Consider the following 17,874-nt stretch of genomic DNA (forward strand, 5'->3'; position numbering starts at 1 on the left):
TTACAGGCATGTGCCATCACACCCAACTAATTTTAGTATTTTTAGTAGATATGTGGTTTTACCATGTTGGCCAGGCTGGTCTCAAACTTCTGAACTCAAGTGAGGCACTTGCCTTGGCCTCCAAAAGTGCTGGGATTATAGGCGTGAGCCACTGCTCCCGGACTCTTTGTTTTCTGCTTTTATTCTTCATGGCACATATCACAGCCTTTTGCTCATATTGGAGCTCAGTAATCATGAGAGGGATGAACATATTGCCTAGATCAATGTTACACAACCTTTTTGGCACCAGGGACTGGTTTCATGGAAGACAATTTTTCCACAGACCAGGGGGATGGTTTTGGGATGAAACTGTTCCACCTGTGATCATCAGGCATTAGTTAGATTTGCGTAAAGAGTGTGCAGCCTAGATCCCTTGTATGCACAGTTCACCATAGGGTTCCTGCTGCTATGGAAATCTAATGCTGCTGCTGCTGATCTGACAGGAGGCTGAATGAGCTCAGGCAGTAATGCTCACTTGCCCGCCACTCACCTCCTGCTGTGTGGCCTGGGCCCTAACGGCCACAGACTGGTACTGGTCCAGGGCCCAGTGGGGTCGGGGGACCCCTGGCCTAGAGGTTTTGTCACAGCGAAGCAGTCAAACGTACATGTTTCAATTTTGTAGTGTATTCTCCAGATCCATTTGTACAGCATCCCCACCAATTTTTAGTAGTCAGCTTGAAGACTTCGAACCTTTTTACTTTATTACAAACAAGTAGTGAATAAAGAAAGCAGACTTTTGTTAACTTATTTGCTAAAATGTTAAAAATGCATTTCCTTAGGGTATTAGATCATACTCTGTGGACTGCCAAGTGCTAATTCTTTCCAACCTTTCTCTGAGTTACAGATTATTATTTTATTGCTTATTCATTGTGTACATCATTTATTTACTCAAGCATTTATTTCCTCAATAATAAATAGCACATAGTAAATACCCTCATATATAATGCAAAAAATCTAAAATTATAGTACAGAAAGAAACACTCCCTTGATGATAGTGACACCTTGCATTGATACAGAACTTGTATGTTTAAAGTATGTATCTTTCTTGAATTTTCAAATAGCTTTTTAGGGATCTTGATCTTCAAGGGTTTATATTCTGATAATGTTGATCAACTGGGCATGGTGGTGCCTGCCTTTAATCCCAGCACTTTGAGAGGCTGAGGCAGGAGGATGGCTTGAGCCCAGGAGTTGAAGACCAGCCTGAGAAACATAGTGAAATCTTGTTTCTACAAAAAATTAAAAAATTAGCTGGGCATAGCGGCATGGGCCTATAGTCCTAGCTACTCAAGAAAATGAGGCAGAAGAATGGCATGGGTTCCTAGGAGTTCGAGACTACAGTGAGTGATGATTGTACAACTGCACTGCAGCCTGGGTAACAGAGCAAGACTCTGTCTCTAACAAAATGAAGAAGAAAATATGTCGATCCCTATCATTTTTTTCTATTTTCTTGTTTTTCTCTTACTTTTTAAATTTAAATTTAATTTTTTTTTTTTTTTTTGCCCAGGGTGGAGTGCAATGGCACAATCTCAACTCATTGCAATGTCTGCCTCCTGGGTTCAAATGATTCTCGTGCCTCAGCTTCCCAAGTAGCTGGGATTACAGGCATGCCACCACACTTGGCTAATTTTTTCTATTTTTAGTAGAGACAGGGTTTCACCATGTTGCCAGGCTGGTCTTGAACTCCTGGCCTCAAGTGACCTGCCCGCCTCGGCCTCCCAAAGTACTGGAATTACAGGCATGAGCCACCATGCCTGGCTTCTCTTACTTTTATAAAATATTTATGTATAGTCGAATAATGAAAAATACATCAAGGAATAGCTAAGATGAGCCTCATCCCCCTGAAGATGCGGTCATGCCTTGAAAGGAGCCACCTAACACGTGACAGTGCCTGTGTCTTCAAGCTGCTGATGTGGAATATTATCAGTCTTTGTAATCTTTGCTAATTTGATGGGTAAAACTTACATCTATTTTGTTTTTTATTTTTTCTTAATAATGAAGTTAGGGACTTTTTGTTTTGGTTTGTTTATTGATCATTGTCTGTCTTTGTAAGTTGACCGCTCCTGACTTTTGTCCAATTTTCTTTTTAAAAATCATTTTTGTAGTTCTTTATATTAAGTTCTTAAAATTTTGTGGTTATGGTTGAAACTTCTTTGCTGATTATTATTTGCCTTTAACTGTGTGGTATCTTTTATTGTACAGAAGCTTATAATTTATTTTAGACGAATTTGTCAATTTTTTCTTTTATAGCTATTGTATTTCATGTACTTACAAAGGTGATTACAGGCACTAAGAGACAAATCCATTATATTATCTAGAATATTTTATATTTTATTTTTAATATTAAAATTTGTAATCAAGCTGGAATATTTTTGTACATTGTATGTGGCAGAAATCTATTTTATTAACTTTTCAAAAAATCCAACTGATTATTACATCATTTATTGAACAATACATTCTTTCTCTGTTAATTTGAAATAGTATTACATCATTTATTGAACAATACATTCTTTCTCTATTAACTTGAAATATTACCTTCACTTTATTTTTAAATGTTGATGCATAGATGATTTTATTATATTGATCTAATTTTGTATCAAAACCACACTTTATTGTTTTATAGTTCATTGTAATGTCTGGTAGAGTAAATTTTCACATTTCAAAAAGTAAAATCATTATAATTACATTAACTTCGTAAATATGACATCTTTACAGCATTGGGTTTTCTCATCCAGAAATGTGTCTCCTCGTTTATCACAATTTTCTTTTATATTCAATAGTACATTTAGGATTTGCACATTTCTTGTTAATTCTATATTTAGATATTCAGTAATTTTCTTTGCAATTAAATGTGGTCTTGCCATTAACTGTATCTTCAATGGATACAGTATCTCTTTCTTATCTTCTTCCAGTCTTAGCTTTTTGTATTCTATTTATCTTTTGTAAGCACCTTAAATCTTTTTTATAGCATGTGGCATACAGCTAGGTTTAAAAATATTTTAACAATGCTGTAATGTCCATATTTTGCTGAAAAGTTTAATATGACACAAACAGTCTTTTTTTTTTTTTTTTACTCTAGGGAAATAAGTACTGGTTGGCTCTCCACAGAATCTTTCTTTTTTTCTTTTTAGTTTGCTTTTGATCCTAGAGTTTGGTTTCAGGTCTTTAGTACAAAAGAACTACTTCTTGGGGGGAAAACAACAAAACAAAATTATGCCAAACTATCCTCTAACTAGCATTTGCTTGCTGTGCTGTAGTGTTCTGGGCAGTTTCTTGAGTCACTAAAAGCATTTTTAATTACTTTTCTGTTCTAAAATCTTGCAGTTCATTACGCAACAGCTGCTTAGATTACCTGTTTAGGTTTCAGCACATCCGCGCAGCAAGACAGGGTTGAGAAAAATTCCCTCTGAGAGATCATAGCTGTGCAGCTGAGTGGGTAGTGATGTCCAACACTGAGCAGGAAACTCCAGAGGAGAAGCAGTGTTGAAGGAGAAGATCCTGAACTCTTTGAGGTGATAGGGAGACATCTATGTATCTGGAACTCAGAGGAGATATAGACTGGAGATTTGCAATTAATACTTAGCATGTTGATGGTAATTAAAGACATGGTACCGATGAATTTAATGTAAGGTGAGACGAGAAGAATCTGTAGACCTGAAGTTTAAAGATGCTTAGTGTTTAAAGGTCAGGCAAAAGAGGACAAAGGAGAATAAAAAATAACAAAGTGATTGGAAAAAGAGAAAGAAGAGATTTTATAAAAAGCCCAAAGAGGGTATATTTGAGGAAGGAGGACATATTGTTTATAGTATTGATTATTTCTGAAAGGCCACGTGCTGTAAGGACAGAGAATGTCCAATGCATTAAGCAATTTGAGGACAGTCTTCCCATCATCTACCAATTAGTTCATGTATTCAGCAAGCACTGCTAGAGCATTTTGAAAGATCATGAAGATACTAGGTAACGGCAGGCACTGCTGATAGAGAAATGGAATTCAGAGAGGGATCTGAATGTGTTGCTCGTACTTGAACCTGAACACAAATCACAGGCCTGCTGTGCTTAAATCATGACTTGCCCTGAGAAGGGTCTTTTTGGGAATATAGGGAAGCATATAGCATGGATATGTTTCCTTCTTCAAAGATGTTACAATCTCACTGGAAAGAGAAGGCATAAATGCAATTTAAGTAATACAAGGTGACCATGTAGCATATGCCACAAGGTATCATTTGATTAATAGCTAGAAAATAAGCACTGTTCATTGAGACTTTATGCCAGGTTCTTCATATACATCTTATTTAATCTCAACCAGCAAACTTATAGGTTCATAGATGAGAAAATTGACATTTGCCAGATCGTGACATAAATAAGGGGTTGAGGATCTATCTGATGCCAAGTATACACTTTTTAACTCTGCCACATTCTTTTTTTTTTTTTTTTTTTTTTTTTTTGAGATAGAGTTTCACTCTGTCGCCCAGGCTGGAGTGCAGTGGTGCAATCTTGTCTCACTGGAACCTCCACCTCCTGGGTTCAAGCGATTCTCCTTCCTCAGCCTCCCAAGTAGCTTGGATTACAGGTGCCTGCCGTCATGCCAGCTAATTTCTGTATTTTTATTAGAGACGGTGTTTCAGCATGTTGGCCAGGCTGATCTCAAACTCCTGACCTCAAGTGATCCACCTGCCTTGGCCTCCCAAAGTGGTGGGATTACAGGCGTGAGCCACTGCACTTGGCCTCTGCCACATTCTTTCTCAATGGCTCAGTGCTTTTGAAAAGTAAATAGAGTGTTTTGGCAACATTTCCTATTTTCCCTTGATCTGAAATACTGCTAGAATTATATCTGTTATATCAAACTATGGTCTATAGCAGTGATTCTCAAACTGTAGAGGACTCCTGGGAACCCTTGAACACTTTCAGCAGGGTCTCAAGGTCAAACTTATTTTTCATAATAACAATAAGATGTTACTTCCTTTTCTACACTGTGCTGACATTGTCACTAATGGTGCAGAAGCAGTGGAAGGTGAAACTGCTGGTGCCTTACTACAAATCGAGGCAGTGACACCAAACTCTAATAGTGGTCACTGTATTTATTCTTCACTGACACACACTCACAATAGGAAAACATCAAAAAAATCCCAACAGAACAACCTAGTTTTGCTTGAGGATTTCCTTGATGAAGCAGTAAAAATTATTAATGTAGCAAAATATTAACATAGGAGTGCATGTATTTTGAGTATTCCAGGTGATGAAATAGGAAGTACTAAGAAAGCACTTCTGCTCTACAGTGAAGTCTGATAGTTGTTGATATGGTTAGGCTTTGTGTCCTCACCCAAATCTCATGTTGAATTATAATTCCCATAATCCCCACAATCCCCACATGTCTAGGGAGAGACCAGGTGGAGGTAATTGGATCAGGGGGAGGTTCCCCCATGCTGTTCTCATGATAGTGAGTGAGTTCTCACAAGATCTGATGGTTTTATAATTGTTTGGTAGTTCCTCCTGCATTCATTCTCTTCCTGCCACCTTGTGAAGAAGGTGCCTTGCTTCCTCCTTTCCTTCCACCATGATTGTAAGTTTCCTGAGGCCTCCCCAGCCATGAGGAACTGTGAGTCAATTAAACCTCTTTCTTTTATAAATTACCCAGTCTTGGGCAGTTCTTTATAGCAATATAAAAACAAACTAATACAGTTGTCTTAAGGAAAATATAGGTGGTTGCTTGAATTACGAGATGAACCAACTTTTTTTCATGGAAAAGCATTTTTACTTGAAAGAGTGACTGAGAAACAACATGGTTTTCAGACTCAGACATTTTGGCAGACATTTTCTTGAAAATGAAGAATGTGAGCCCACAACTTTCAAGCAAAAATACCAGCATTTCTTGCTAGTGATGTATTTTAGCTTTCAAGCAAAAAGTATAAGTTCAGAAAACTTTTGTTTACCACCATAATCTTGACAGCTTACCAACAGTAAGAGTTTTCTTATGATAAAAATTGGTAGTGAAAATGGTAAATGTTACTTTCTGATATTGTGTGATGAAATATGTCAACAGTTACAATATATGCATAACTTAGTAGATCAGTATTTTTCAAATGTCCAGTGCATGATTATGCATGGACCATGCATGAATAAAAGATCCATCAAAAGTGTGAAATAGACCAATGAGGTTTAATGCAAGTATATGGAAAATTCACTAATATGGTTTCAGATTCTATATTGCAACTAATTTTAAGAAGTTACCATTTGTTGAGTTTTAATATCAAAAAATGTTCACAATGATATAAAAAGGCAATTATAATACTCCTTCATTTTTCAACTATGTATCAGTGTCTGACTACATTCTTTTCTTATACTTTGTCTAAAACATTTAGCAGAAGCTTGAATGCAGAAGCAGAGATGAGAATCCATTGTCTTAAGCCAGATATTAGAGATTTGTTAAAGTATAAAACAGTGCTACTCTTCTTACTCTTTTTAGGGGCAAGAAAATATAGTTATTTTTACAAAAACTTTATAAAAATAACATGCTATGAATTACTGTTGTTTTAAAACAACTTAATAAATATTTAAAAAATTTCTCAATTTTAGTTTTTAATATGGAAAAAAACCAAAAACTCTTTGGTGTCCTAAATAATTTTTAAGAGTGTAAGGTGATCCTGAAGCCAAATTTTTGAGATGTACTAGTTTATATCCACAGGCAGAGGCAGTAGAGTAAGGTGGTTAGGAGGCTCTGTCCAGTTTTTATTAGCGCTGGGCTGTTCGGATGGAATATATTCTATGGATCCATCTTCAAGTTCACAGATTCTATTCTCTGTCATCTCTACTTTTGAACTCGCTTAGCAAGTTTTTTATTTTCATTATCATATTTTTCAATTCTATAATCCTCATTTGGTTTAATAAATATTTTCTGGGATTTTCCATTTTTTCATTTGTTTCAAGTGAAATTGTAAATGATTATTGAAGGATTTTTATAATATCTTCTTTAAAGTCCTTGTCAGATGATTCCAACCTCTGATTCATCTTGGTATTGGTGTTTGTTGATTGTCCTTGGTATAATAGGTGATTTTTAAAAAATTGTATCCTAGACGTTTTGATTATTACGGGGATCCTTGATCCTATCTAAACCTTCTAATTTGGCGAAATCTGCTTAGATTTGTCATATGTGCTCTTGGGCTACTTTTGCGGGCGTTGGTTACAATGGTGTCTGTAGTTTCCTAGGCTCTTGCAATGTTACTGTCCTTTGTTTTTTCGGGTACTGCTAAGGCTCCTGCTCAGTCACTGCTGGCGCCACCTGCAGGGCGCAGAAGGTACTTCCCTAGTAGGCCTGCTGTCACTGAGTGGCCTTCCTGGTCACTTCCCGGCCTGATTATGCTGCTGGCTGGAAGGCAGGGAAACGCAGGGCTTTGCTGAGGCTGCCTCAGTGCCTGGTTGTGGAATGAGGTCTGAGACATCCCTGGATGTCACCGTTGCCCCTTTTGCAAGTGGATAGGACTGTCCACCAATGGCCTGGCTGTGGAGTGGGGTCTGGGAGGTCCCAGGACTTTGTTGATGGGGCTGCAGCCAGATCCAACTGCCTGCTGGGGCCCAGAATGTGCACTGGGAACTGGAACAGCCCCAAGCTTCCACTGGGGGATCAGACTGCTTGCAGGGGCCCCATTTGTGGGTCAGGGAATAGGGCCCTCTTGTCCTAGTTTTGGGGTGTGGAATGCGGTGATAAAAAGAAAATCCGGGAATCTCACCATGTAGTCGTTCCTCAAGCCCTGAAACCTATAGCCAGTCTACCTTCTTCCATCCAACTTTCTATTATTTTTTCATTGTCTATTGGACAATTTCAAGGGTATTTAGTTATATTTAGAGGGAAGGACCAGGGAAAAGTTTGTCTACATGATCTTGTTTTGGAACTAGATATCACTGCTTATTTTTTGTTAAAAAATTAAAAATTTTAAAAATAAAAATGGAAAAAACTGTGGCAAGGTAGGTTAACTTTTGACATAGGTGGTTATCGTAAGTGTTTTATAACATGTTTGTTTATTTCTATAGGAATTATGTTGGAATATGAAAAACATGGAGAATTAAAGACTAAGTCCATAGATTTGCTTGATCTTGGTCCCAGGTAAGTAAGCTGTAGGATTCAACAAATAAATGTTCACTGGGAAGCCTTGACACAGAGTGATGTGTGGATGAGCTGCATAAACTGCAGATAATACATTATGTTTTAAAAATTGTTCTTCTGTGGTGTGTTAGTTTCTGTTTGTTTCAGGGAGTTGTATCTGAGGGTCTTGCTGAATGAAGAGGAAGTGGGAAAAGGGTTATCACTCTTTTCTTTTTTTTCTAAGGTCTTAAAAAAATAAACCTTTTAGTTTATGATTTTAGAAAGGCCGTGAAGGTAGAGTTTCCACACCCCGATTCCCCTGATGTTAACATCTCAGATTAGCGGTGTACATTTATTAGGATTAATGAACCAGTATGATACATAATTATTAGCTAAGGCCCACTTTATTCAGTTTTTCTTAGTTTTTCCCTAATTCCTTTCTTCTGTTCCAGGATTCCATCCAGAATCCTACATGACATTTAGCCATCATGTGTCCTTAAGCTTCCTTAAGCTGCGACCGTTTCTCAGACTTCCCTTATTTTTGCTGACCTTAATTTCTTTCTTTTTCTTTCCTTTTTTTTTTTTTTTTGAGACAGAGTTTCACTCTTGTTGCCCAGTCTGGAGTGCAGTGGCTCGATCTCGGCTCATTGCATCCTCCGCCTCCTGAGTTCAAGCGATTCTCTGTGCCCAACCAGTGACCTTTACATTTTTGAGAAGTACTTGTTACTGAGTTTTAAGAATATTACTGAGCCTGTTATTTTCTTATTAAATACTTCATAGGGCTGACTGCATATGTTCCTCCTCATTAATTGTCATGGGGCAGAAAAGGGAGACCTAATCTCTATTACTGAAGCTTGGTATTAGCCCAGAGGAAACCTCTTGTGATGTAATAACACCCAGAGTTCATTCTCTTTAGTAAATCTAATGCAAATAGCTGGGCGTGGTTGCTCACACTTGTAATTTCAGCACTTTAGGAGGCCGAGGCAGCAGGGTCACTTGAGGTCAGGAGTTCGAGAGCAGCCTGGCCAATATGAGGAAACTCCGTCTCTACTAAAAATACAAAAATTAGCCAGGCATGGTGGTGCATGCCTGTAGTCCCAGCTATTCAGGAGGCTAAGGGAGGAGAATTGCTTGAACCCAGGAGGCAGAGGTTGCAGTGAGCTGAGATCGCGGTGCTGTACTCCAACATGGGTGACAAAGTGAGACTCTGTCTTTAAAAAAAAAGAAAAGAAATCTCATACAAAACTCCACTTCAAGGCCAAGGCCAAGTGTGGTGGCTCACACCTGTAATCCCAGCATCTTGGGAGATCGAGGCAGGAGGATCACTTCAGGCTAGGAGTTTGAGACCAGCCCGGGCAACACAAAATAGCAAGACTCTGTCTTTGTAAACAAACAAACAAACAAACAAACATCCTACTTCAAGAGAGAGTCAGACTAGTGATTATCCTGTGAGAGCCTAAGTTCAGATAAGGTGAAAATAATCTCAATGGGTGAAAATCACAAAAGAAACAAAACAAAAATGTTGTGTTTTAGGTTTGTGGCCTGAGACCGTAAGCAAAAGGAGCTTTCTTATATGGGCTGCTCTCTAGTTTTATAATGAGTCCACTTGACACCGTAACTGATGAGAGAGGGGCTCTCTTAATCCTGGAGTTGCTGCCACTTGAGAGGTTTGATGTTTCTGGGAGCACGTGTCTAGGGTGGGGCTGGGGCATGGCTCAGAGGATGATGGTCTATGTAGGGTCCAAGTCTTATTTCGGGTGCTTGGCACAAAGAAGGTAGTCAATTGATATTTTTTTAAAATCAAAGAATGAACAGTGGCACAGATAGTTTCATTGAATACAACAATCTTTGTTATTTTCAGAAAAGATGAGGCCTAATATCAAACCCAACCTGTGATTTTTGTAAATGGAACATGTTATTGATTTGTTTGATGATGCTAGCATGCAGGAAGTTTCTTTGTGAGACATTTGTTTATTTAGTCAGCAATTATGTATATGTACCTTCAACACATATGTAAGAATCTAATCTGGGTTAGATTCTATAAGAGGCTATAAAGATATTACTCATAATCCCTACACTTGATAGGCTTTTTGTCTAGTTTGAGAAACAACTTGTACAACATAGAACATCACACAAGTGGTACAGATAAGCTTCTATATGAGAGAATAACCTCCAGCTAGACATTCTGCAAAACCACAGATTTTTATATCTAAGAAGTATGAATTATTAGGTGATTTCAAAAAGGACTTGTGGGCTGTGAATCCAGGCACTCAACACTTTGAAAGTCTTCATATTAACTATAGTCACTCAATCGTGCTGTGCTTTCCTGAGGAGATATAAGGCATAGCCACTCATAAACATGACCTTTTGGTGATATGAGAAAGTAAATAAATGTCTCAAAAAAGTGTGAATTTTATTTCTAGTTTTGTGCAAGAATCTGGAAGTATTGTGCCTGTAAAAACACTGGCACCATAGATGACATGCTGGAATTATTGCATGAAAATCCTACAGGGTTGGAGCGTGTAGATTATCTGGTTAATTTGGATCTTGCGAGGAAATCTGTTTTTATATAAGTTGTTGAAAACGTTTCAAAGGGGCATTTTTACCCTTTTAATTGTTATGAAATTAATTATCTTTTTGACAATGAAATATCTCAGGGTTTATCCAAGTTATTATTATGGATGGTTCCTGGTTCATTTTTGTTCAAAATATTCACTCCTAATCTAATAGATTATGTTTCTTGAGAGCTGGGACCATATCTTTTACACACCCAGTGCTAAAGCAATAGTACCAACTCAATAAATGTCAATTGAATGAGCAGGTTCCTAGCTCGGTGCCTTGCACAAAACTGGAGCTTAATGTTTGTTGATGAGGTGAAGAGGGGGATACTTATCAGGGGCCACATTCATGGGAATTGGATACTGAGACAGAAGTGGGTGAGTCAAAGGTTTATTGGGCAGTGACACTTGTGACAGTCCAGGGCATGAAGCAGAAGCAGGATCAGGCGGGAGGAGCCATCTGACCTCGATGAAGAAGGCGGGACAACAGAATCTCTGCCAATCTGGAAGAGCTCAGGAGCAAAACTTGCCAGCTAGAGGAGTGCCTCACAGGGAGAAACGGCCAGGCTCTTGCTCTGCCCCTGCTCAGCTGTGGACGGAGAGCCACCAGAGAAGAGGCAGCCCTGGCCTGGAATGCCAAGGTACAGCCTGAAAGAGCTGCAGCTAGAAGCTGTCAGGCAACAAAGCTCCAACCCTGACTCTGGGCTTGATTCTTTCTTAAAGGTGGGGGAATCTGCATAGTGCATCTTCTGGACACGTGTGTGACATGATTTGTGAAATGGCTCTTTTTTGGATGCTTCATGGTGTATATACATTGATACCTTTTTTTGAACGAATATTATTCTGTGCCAGCAACATTTTTCAGAATTTCTATGAATTATTTGAATGCTAGAGAAAATTTGAATCTATCTGTATATTTTTCAGACCAGTTATCTTTCAGGGAAACAATATTTTAGTCTATAATAAATATTAATATTAGTCTTATGATGCTTTAAATTTATGGTTAGGCATTTTTCTCTTTTCCTAAAAATATTTTAAATCTAATCTTTCTGAACCTCAGTTTCTTCATCTCTAAAATAATTATGATAAAAGCATTACATTAGCAGATTGTTACAGGATTAAATAAGAGAACATATGTAAAGTGAAAAGTATGCTGCTGGGAACATTCAATACATGTTCATTCAAAAGAAACAGGAAAGAAAGAAAAAGAGCTCATGTTCAGAACTAGTATGGACTAGGCCTTCCTAGGTGTCTTCATTCATTTTGTGCTGCCATAAAAAGAAAGACCTGAAACAGGGTTATTTGTTTCTCGTAGTTCTGACTGAGAAATCCAAGATCAAGGCCCCTACAAGTTTGGCATCTGATGAGGGCTGCACTCTGCTTCCAGGATGGCACCTTGATGCTGCGTCTTCACATGGCAGAGGGCAGAAGGGCAAAAGGGATGAACTCTCTTTGTCAAGCCTTGTTATCAGGGCTTCTAATCCCATTCAGAAGGGCTCCACCATTGTGACTTAATTACCTATTCAGGCCGCACCTCTTAATGCTGTGACATTGGTGAACATGTTTCAGCATGAATTTTAGAGCGGACGCAAACATTCAAACCACAACACTAGGTGAGAACATTAGACTCTTGGCACACCCTCCATGAAACAAGCCTTAGCTTTGGAAAAATATGTTGTAGAAAATCCAAGCTTCTTGCTTTCCTGCCATCATCTATTTACTGATTTGTATGATCCTCCCCGCCCCACCCCCAGATATCTCTTGGGAAAGATAATGGTGTTTTTGACATTTTATAAATGTGCTTCATGAAGCAATACAATCAATTCTTCATGTAATATAGGTATATGCAAATTTTGACATAAAATAAAAGAAACTCTTTTTTGGGTGTATTTCAGCACTGATGTCAGTGCGTTAGTAGAAGAAATCCAGAAGGCAGAACCTCTACTCACAGCTTCACGAACAGAGCAAGTCAAACTTTTGATACAGAGGTTGCAAGAGAAACTCGGCCAGAACAGCAATCACACGTTCTATCTTTTTAAGGTAATGGATTTAAAAACAATCAGATAGAAGAATTTCAGTGAAATGATTGATATTTTATTAATTTTTCTTTCCCTAAAAATATTTTTTCATGAAAAAGGCATGTCAGTGATTGATTGTAGTGCCTCACATATGTTTGCTAAGATTGTCCCAATAATTATTTGTTAAATGAATGAGTGAAATCCAAAACACTTATTCCTTGAGAGGTTAAATAAAGATTTCAGCTCTTCATATAATGATAAATTTAAAGGGTTATTATTATTAAGATAGTTTTAAGTTATGGAATAACTAAAGCTTTTTTTCTAGTTAAAGTAACGTTAAGAAGTTGTGTTTTATGACAAATCAACATTTCGTATTTTCTGCTTTCATGTGAACTAAACCATATTTCAGTAAATTATTTATTTGTATGACATATAATTTTAATGTGATGTAAATATGCTTTTTAAATAGTTTTTTTGATGATTAAATATAGCAAATATAGTCGTTTAGTACTTCAAGGAAAGCTTTTAATTTTCCTTTGTCATTACCTTAGAATTACTTCATATTACACTGCTTTTATCTTTTATGATTTAAATATAATTATGATAGTAACATATAATTATTAGTTATAGACTCACCTGATACAAAATATCCAGGCATTCGTTTCTGGAAGAGGATGTTATAGTCTTGTAACATTTCTTTGTCCAGTAGGTGGCACTGTTTAATTTCAAATATGAGCTGTATAACTAGCGTGTCTCAATTTATTCTCCAAAGGGAACATTTTTGATGGTGAAAGTAGATGCTATTCATAGTTACATTTTGGTAACAGACATAACTTGGACTGTCCCAGCCCAGCCAATCACTCTTAATAGATTGTCCAATTTATGTATATGCATTCAATAAATATTCATTAAACATTCACTGTATGTTAGATGTTGTAGGGATTGAAAGATAAGGAAGACATATTCTGACACTAAAGGAGCTTCAGGATTCATAAAGTCATAATACATTGTCAAATCTTTATTGAAACATATTTAGTGTATTTCCTACATACCCAGTTTATACATGTATACAAAACCACATGCCATATGTAAAAGAAAATGTTACAAATTAGTGCTATCAATAAGATGCCACATAGCACTGTCTAAAGGTAAATCAGATATTGCCTGTTTCTGATGTATAATTAAGAAAAAATTGAATGTCTTCATTGGTTTGAAGTTATAACTAACAAATTTAATTTGGTTTGAGTCTAAAAAATGGTGTTTTCTTTCACTGAAGGTTCTCAAAGCACATATATTGCCACTGACTAATGTTGCACTTAACAAATCGGGCTCATGGTAAGATTCTCTTTTTATGTCTAATTTTTAGCAGTGAAACAAATTTCTGTGTTTATTTATCAAAGATTCCAGTTAGATAAGTACATAATATATTCATTTTTCTGATTTCAGTACTCCCTTGGATACTGAGGAGAAATATAAACCCTTTCTCCCACTCTTCTAATCTGAGTTTTCTGTCGTATTTGTGCTGCAGTGAATGGGAGGCATATTGGGTTCTCAGCAAATGTAGCTACTGAAGAACTCAACTCAGGAATGAGTCGGGCAGGGTGGCCTCATATCTAACTTGGTTGGTTGTGATCAGTCTATTCAGAGCAGGCACTTTCCATCTAGGTCAGTGATTTGGGGTATGGCAAACAGCAGCTTCAAGTCTCTGTTGAGAGCATGGCTGTGATCAGCTTGGGAGCTGACGTGCTAGGTAGGAGAGATGAGGGAGAAGTCTCGTCTTGACCTACAGACATAAAATAAACACAAACTAGACATAAAATAAGCAGTTTGCTAAGGCTTCCATAATAAGGTAGCACAAACTGAGTGGCTTACACAACCAAAATGTATTGTGTCACAGTTGGGGAGGTTAGAGGTCAGAGGTCAAGGTGTCATCAGGGTCAGTTCCTTCTGAGGCCTTGGGAAAGAAGCTGTTCCACAGCTCCTGTAGCTTCTGGTGGTTTGCTGGCAATCTTTGGTGTGGAGAAGCATCACCCTGAGCTCTGCCCTCATCTTCACATGGTTTTCCCTGTGCATGTCTGTGCCTATATGGCCTGTTCTTATAAGGATGTATTGAACTAGGGCCCACCCTACTGCGGCATGATCTCATCCTAACTTAATAATTTTTTTTTTTTGAGATGGAGTTTCACTCTTGTTGCTCAGGCTGGAGTGCAATGGCACGATCTTGGCTCACTGCAACCTCCAGCTCTAGGGTTCAAGCAATTCTCCTGCCTCAGCCTCCTGAGTAGCTGGGATTACAGGTGCCTGCCACCACGCCCAGCTAATTTTTTGTATTTTTAGCAGAGACGGGGTTTCTCCATGTTGGTCAGGCTGGTCTCGAACACCTGACCTCAGGTGATCTGCCCAACTTGGCCTCCCAAAGTGCTGAGATTACAGGCGTGAGCCACCACGCCCAGCCGTAACTTAACTATTAATAATTATATCTGCAAGATCTTATTTCCAAATACATTCACATTCTAAGGTTCTGGGGGATTATGACTTCAACATATAAATTTTGAGGGCATATATTTCAACCCATAAAGTATCTATAGTATATATGTGTATAGTTGCAAATGCGAGTTTGCATCTGTCCAAAGGTAGAAGAAGTCTGTGGGAGAAGATGGTAGAAGGAAAATACCTAGGAGAGAATCAAAGATACCTTGTCTTGTCAACCTGCCTGTTTAGTTGAGTTTCGCTATTAGACTTTTCTTCACCTTTTCTTGTTACCACTTGACATTCAGACTGGCTTTTCAATTTTGTGGGTTGTTTTCTGTGCTGGGGAAATATATTTTTGTTATACTTTTGAAGCAATATTTTGATTTCAGAGATATTTTAGAAAGAAAGTCTCTTTCTTAATTGAATATTGAAGGAATGATTAAGATGCTGCTATTTTACATTACACTCTATTCACTATTCCTGTAGGAGAATAGCTATGTTAAAGGAACCATTCATTTGTTTATTAAACAGAATATAGGCCAGGTGTGGTGGCGCACGCCTGTAATCCCAGCACTTTGGGAGGCCGAGGTGGGCAGATCACGAGGTCAGGAGTTGGAGACCAGCCTGGCCAACACAGTGAAACCCCATCTCTACTAAAAATAAAAAAAAAAATTAGACAGGCATGGTGGCGCACCTCTAATCCCAGCTACCTGGGAGGCTGAGGCAGGATAATCGCTTGAACCCCGGAGGCAGAGGTGGCAGTGAGCTGAGATCGCACCACTGCACTCCAGCCTGGGTGACAGAGCAAGACTCTGTCTCGGGGGTGGGGTGGGGGTTGGGGGAGGGAACAATGGAATATATCCCAATTTAGACATTGTTCTCAATTTAACTTTTTGTTCTGCACACATGATTTCCATTGTAAAAAGCATAATAGGCCAGGCGTGGTGTGTCACACCTGTAACCCCAGCACTTTGGGAGGCTGAGGCAGGCGGGTCACTTAAGGTCAGTAGTTCAAGACCAGTCTGGCCAACATGGTGAAACCCCATCTCTGCTAAAAACACACACAAAAAATATAGCCAGGCGTGGTGGTGGGTGCCTGTAATCCCAGCTACTCAGGAGGCTGAGGCGGGAGAATTGCTTGAACCTGTGAGGTAGAGGTTGCAGTGCGCCGAGATCACGCCATTGCACTCCAGCCTGAGTGACAGAGCGAGACTCCCTCTTAAACAAACAAACAAACAAACAAACAGCATAATAAATAGAGTTATTATCCTACAGGTAAAACATGAAGTCTTTATTAACACACTGCCATTCTTCCCTGCAACGTGTTTATATTCCTTGTGTTAGCTTTATCACAGGAAGCTATGATCGGACGTGCAAGCTCTGGGACACTGCGTCTGGAGAGGAGCTGAACACGCTGGAGGGCCACAGGAATGTGGTTTATGCCATAGCATTCAACAATCCTTACGGGTGTGTTCATCCCTTCACTTATTTGTTTATTAATTCATTTATTCATCCCTCCATCTGCTTGGGGAGAAAGGGAAGAAGACAAGAGGTCTAAATTTATTGAGTGCTTGGTATGTGCTTTGGAAGCCTTTTAAATACCTCCTTCAAAGCTTAAAAGGGTCTTTGGGTTAGCTATCACTATCCGCATATAGAATACAAGGTTTAAGGCTGGGCGTGGTGGCTCACGCCTGTAATCCTAGCACTCTGGGAGGCCGAGGCGGTGGATCACTTGAGCTCAGGAGTTTGAGACCAGCCTGGCCAACGTGGTGAAACCCCATCTCTACTAAAAATACAAAAATTAGCTGGGCTAATGTATGTAATGTATGGTGGCGCATGCCTGTAGTCCCAGCTACTCGGGAGGCTGAGGCAGGGGAATCGCTTGAACCCAGGAGGCAGAGGTTGCAGTGAGCCCAGATCGCACCATTGCACTCCAGTCTGGGCAACAGAGTGAGACTCTGTCTTAAAAAAAAAAGAATACAAGGTTCAAATATGCTTCCAAGGATCGCACGGTAGTAAAGAGGAGAGCTGGAGTTCGTGCTCAGGCAAGACTTGACTCTCAATCCTTGGGAGTTCCGACAGGCACTGCCTATTGATGTTCACAGCTCTGGGCTGGTGCCTCTGGGGGAATGTGACAGACACACACAGCATGGTTTACTTCATTTAGAAGTTAATTTACAGTCTTGCCAGGCAGGAAAAAAATGTGTGTGGTAACATGCTAAATAACAATACCAAGTACAACAGAAGTATTTTTAAACCAACCTCTAGATAATGAACAGGAGATTGCACAGTGTCTTCTATTCTTCCTCATGACACACTGCTGATTCCCATGGCACCCTGAACATCTATAGCAGTGAACATACCCGCCGGAATGGGCATCCTCCTCCTGCTGGTTAGGTTCTAAGCTGATCAAGAGTTAGTTGTATTTGTCAACCAATGCGCTTATGTTGGTTGTACTTTCAATTGTAATTGTGTAACATAACGTGTAATTTAACTAAATATTACATAAACCAATAAAATATGAGTGTGAAAAGAAAGCTGGTCTTTTCTAGGGAAGCATAAATAAGGCAAATCTTTGAAAAATTGTTTCACAACTAAATGAAGTTGTGGAGGAGATCAATGTTCAATTGGAAATCACACTGTCAAAATCTAGAAAAATTCTGTACTCAGATTGTTCTGCACGTATGTTTAAGTTCTTTAAGTTCTCATTCCA

The 17,874-nt window shown here is 38.7% G+C and overlaps 1 protein-coding gene across 4 annotated transcripts in view; it reads left to right on the forward strand.

The window, feature by feature from the left end:
* Positions 1 to 17,874, forward strand: part of DAW1 (dynein assembly factor with WD repeats 1) — a 52,714-nt gene that overhangs the window by 5,659 nt on the left and 29,181 nt on the right. For all 4 annotated transcript variants that reach the window (NR_138459.2, XM_047443536.1, NM_001330004.2 and 1 more), the window contains 4 exons: positions 8,062 to 8,134; positions 12,567 to 12,711; positions 13,966 to 14,024; positions 16,506 to 16,628. Coding sequence is in view for 3 of the 4 variants with exons in the window: in NM_178821.3 (NP_849143.1) it covers positions 8,062 to 8,134; positions 12,567 to 12,711; positions 13,966 to 14,024; positions 16,506 to 16,628 (400 nt within the window). In the remaining variant the exon portion in view is untranslated. The remainder of the gene's footprint in view (positions 1 to 8,061; positions 8,135 to 12,566; positions 12,712 to 13,965; positions 14,025 to 16,505; positions 16,629 to 17,874) is intronic.

Source organism: Homo sapiens, chromosome 2, assembly GCF_000001405.40.
Source record: "Homo sapiens chromosome 2, GRCh38.p14 Primary Assembly".
NCBI lineage: Eukaryota > Metazoa > Chordata > Mammalia > Primates > Hominidae > Homo > Homo sapiens.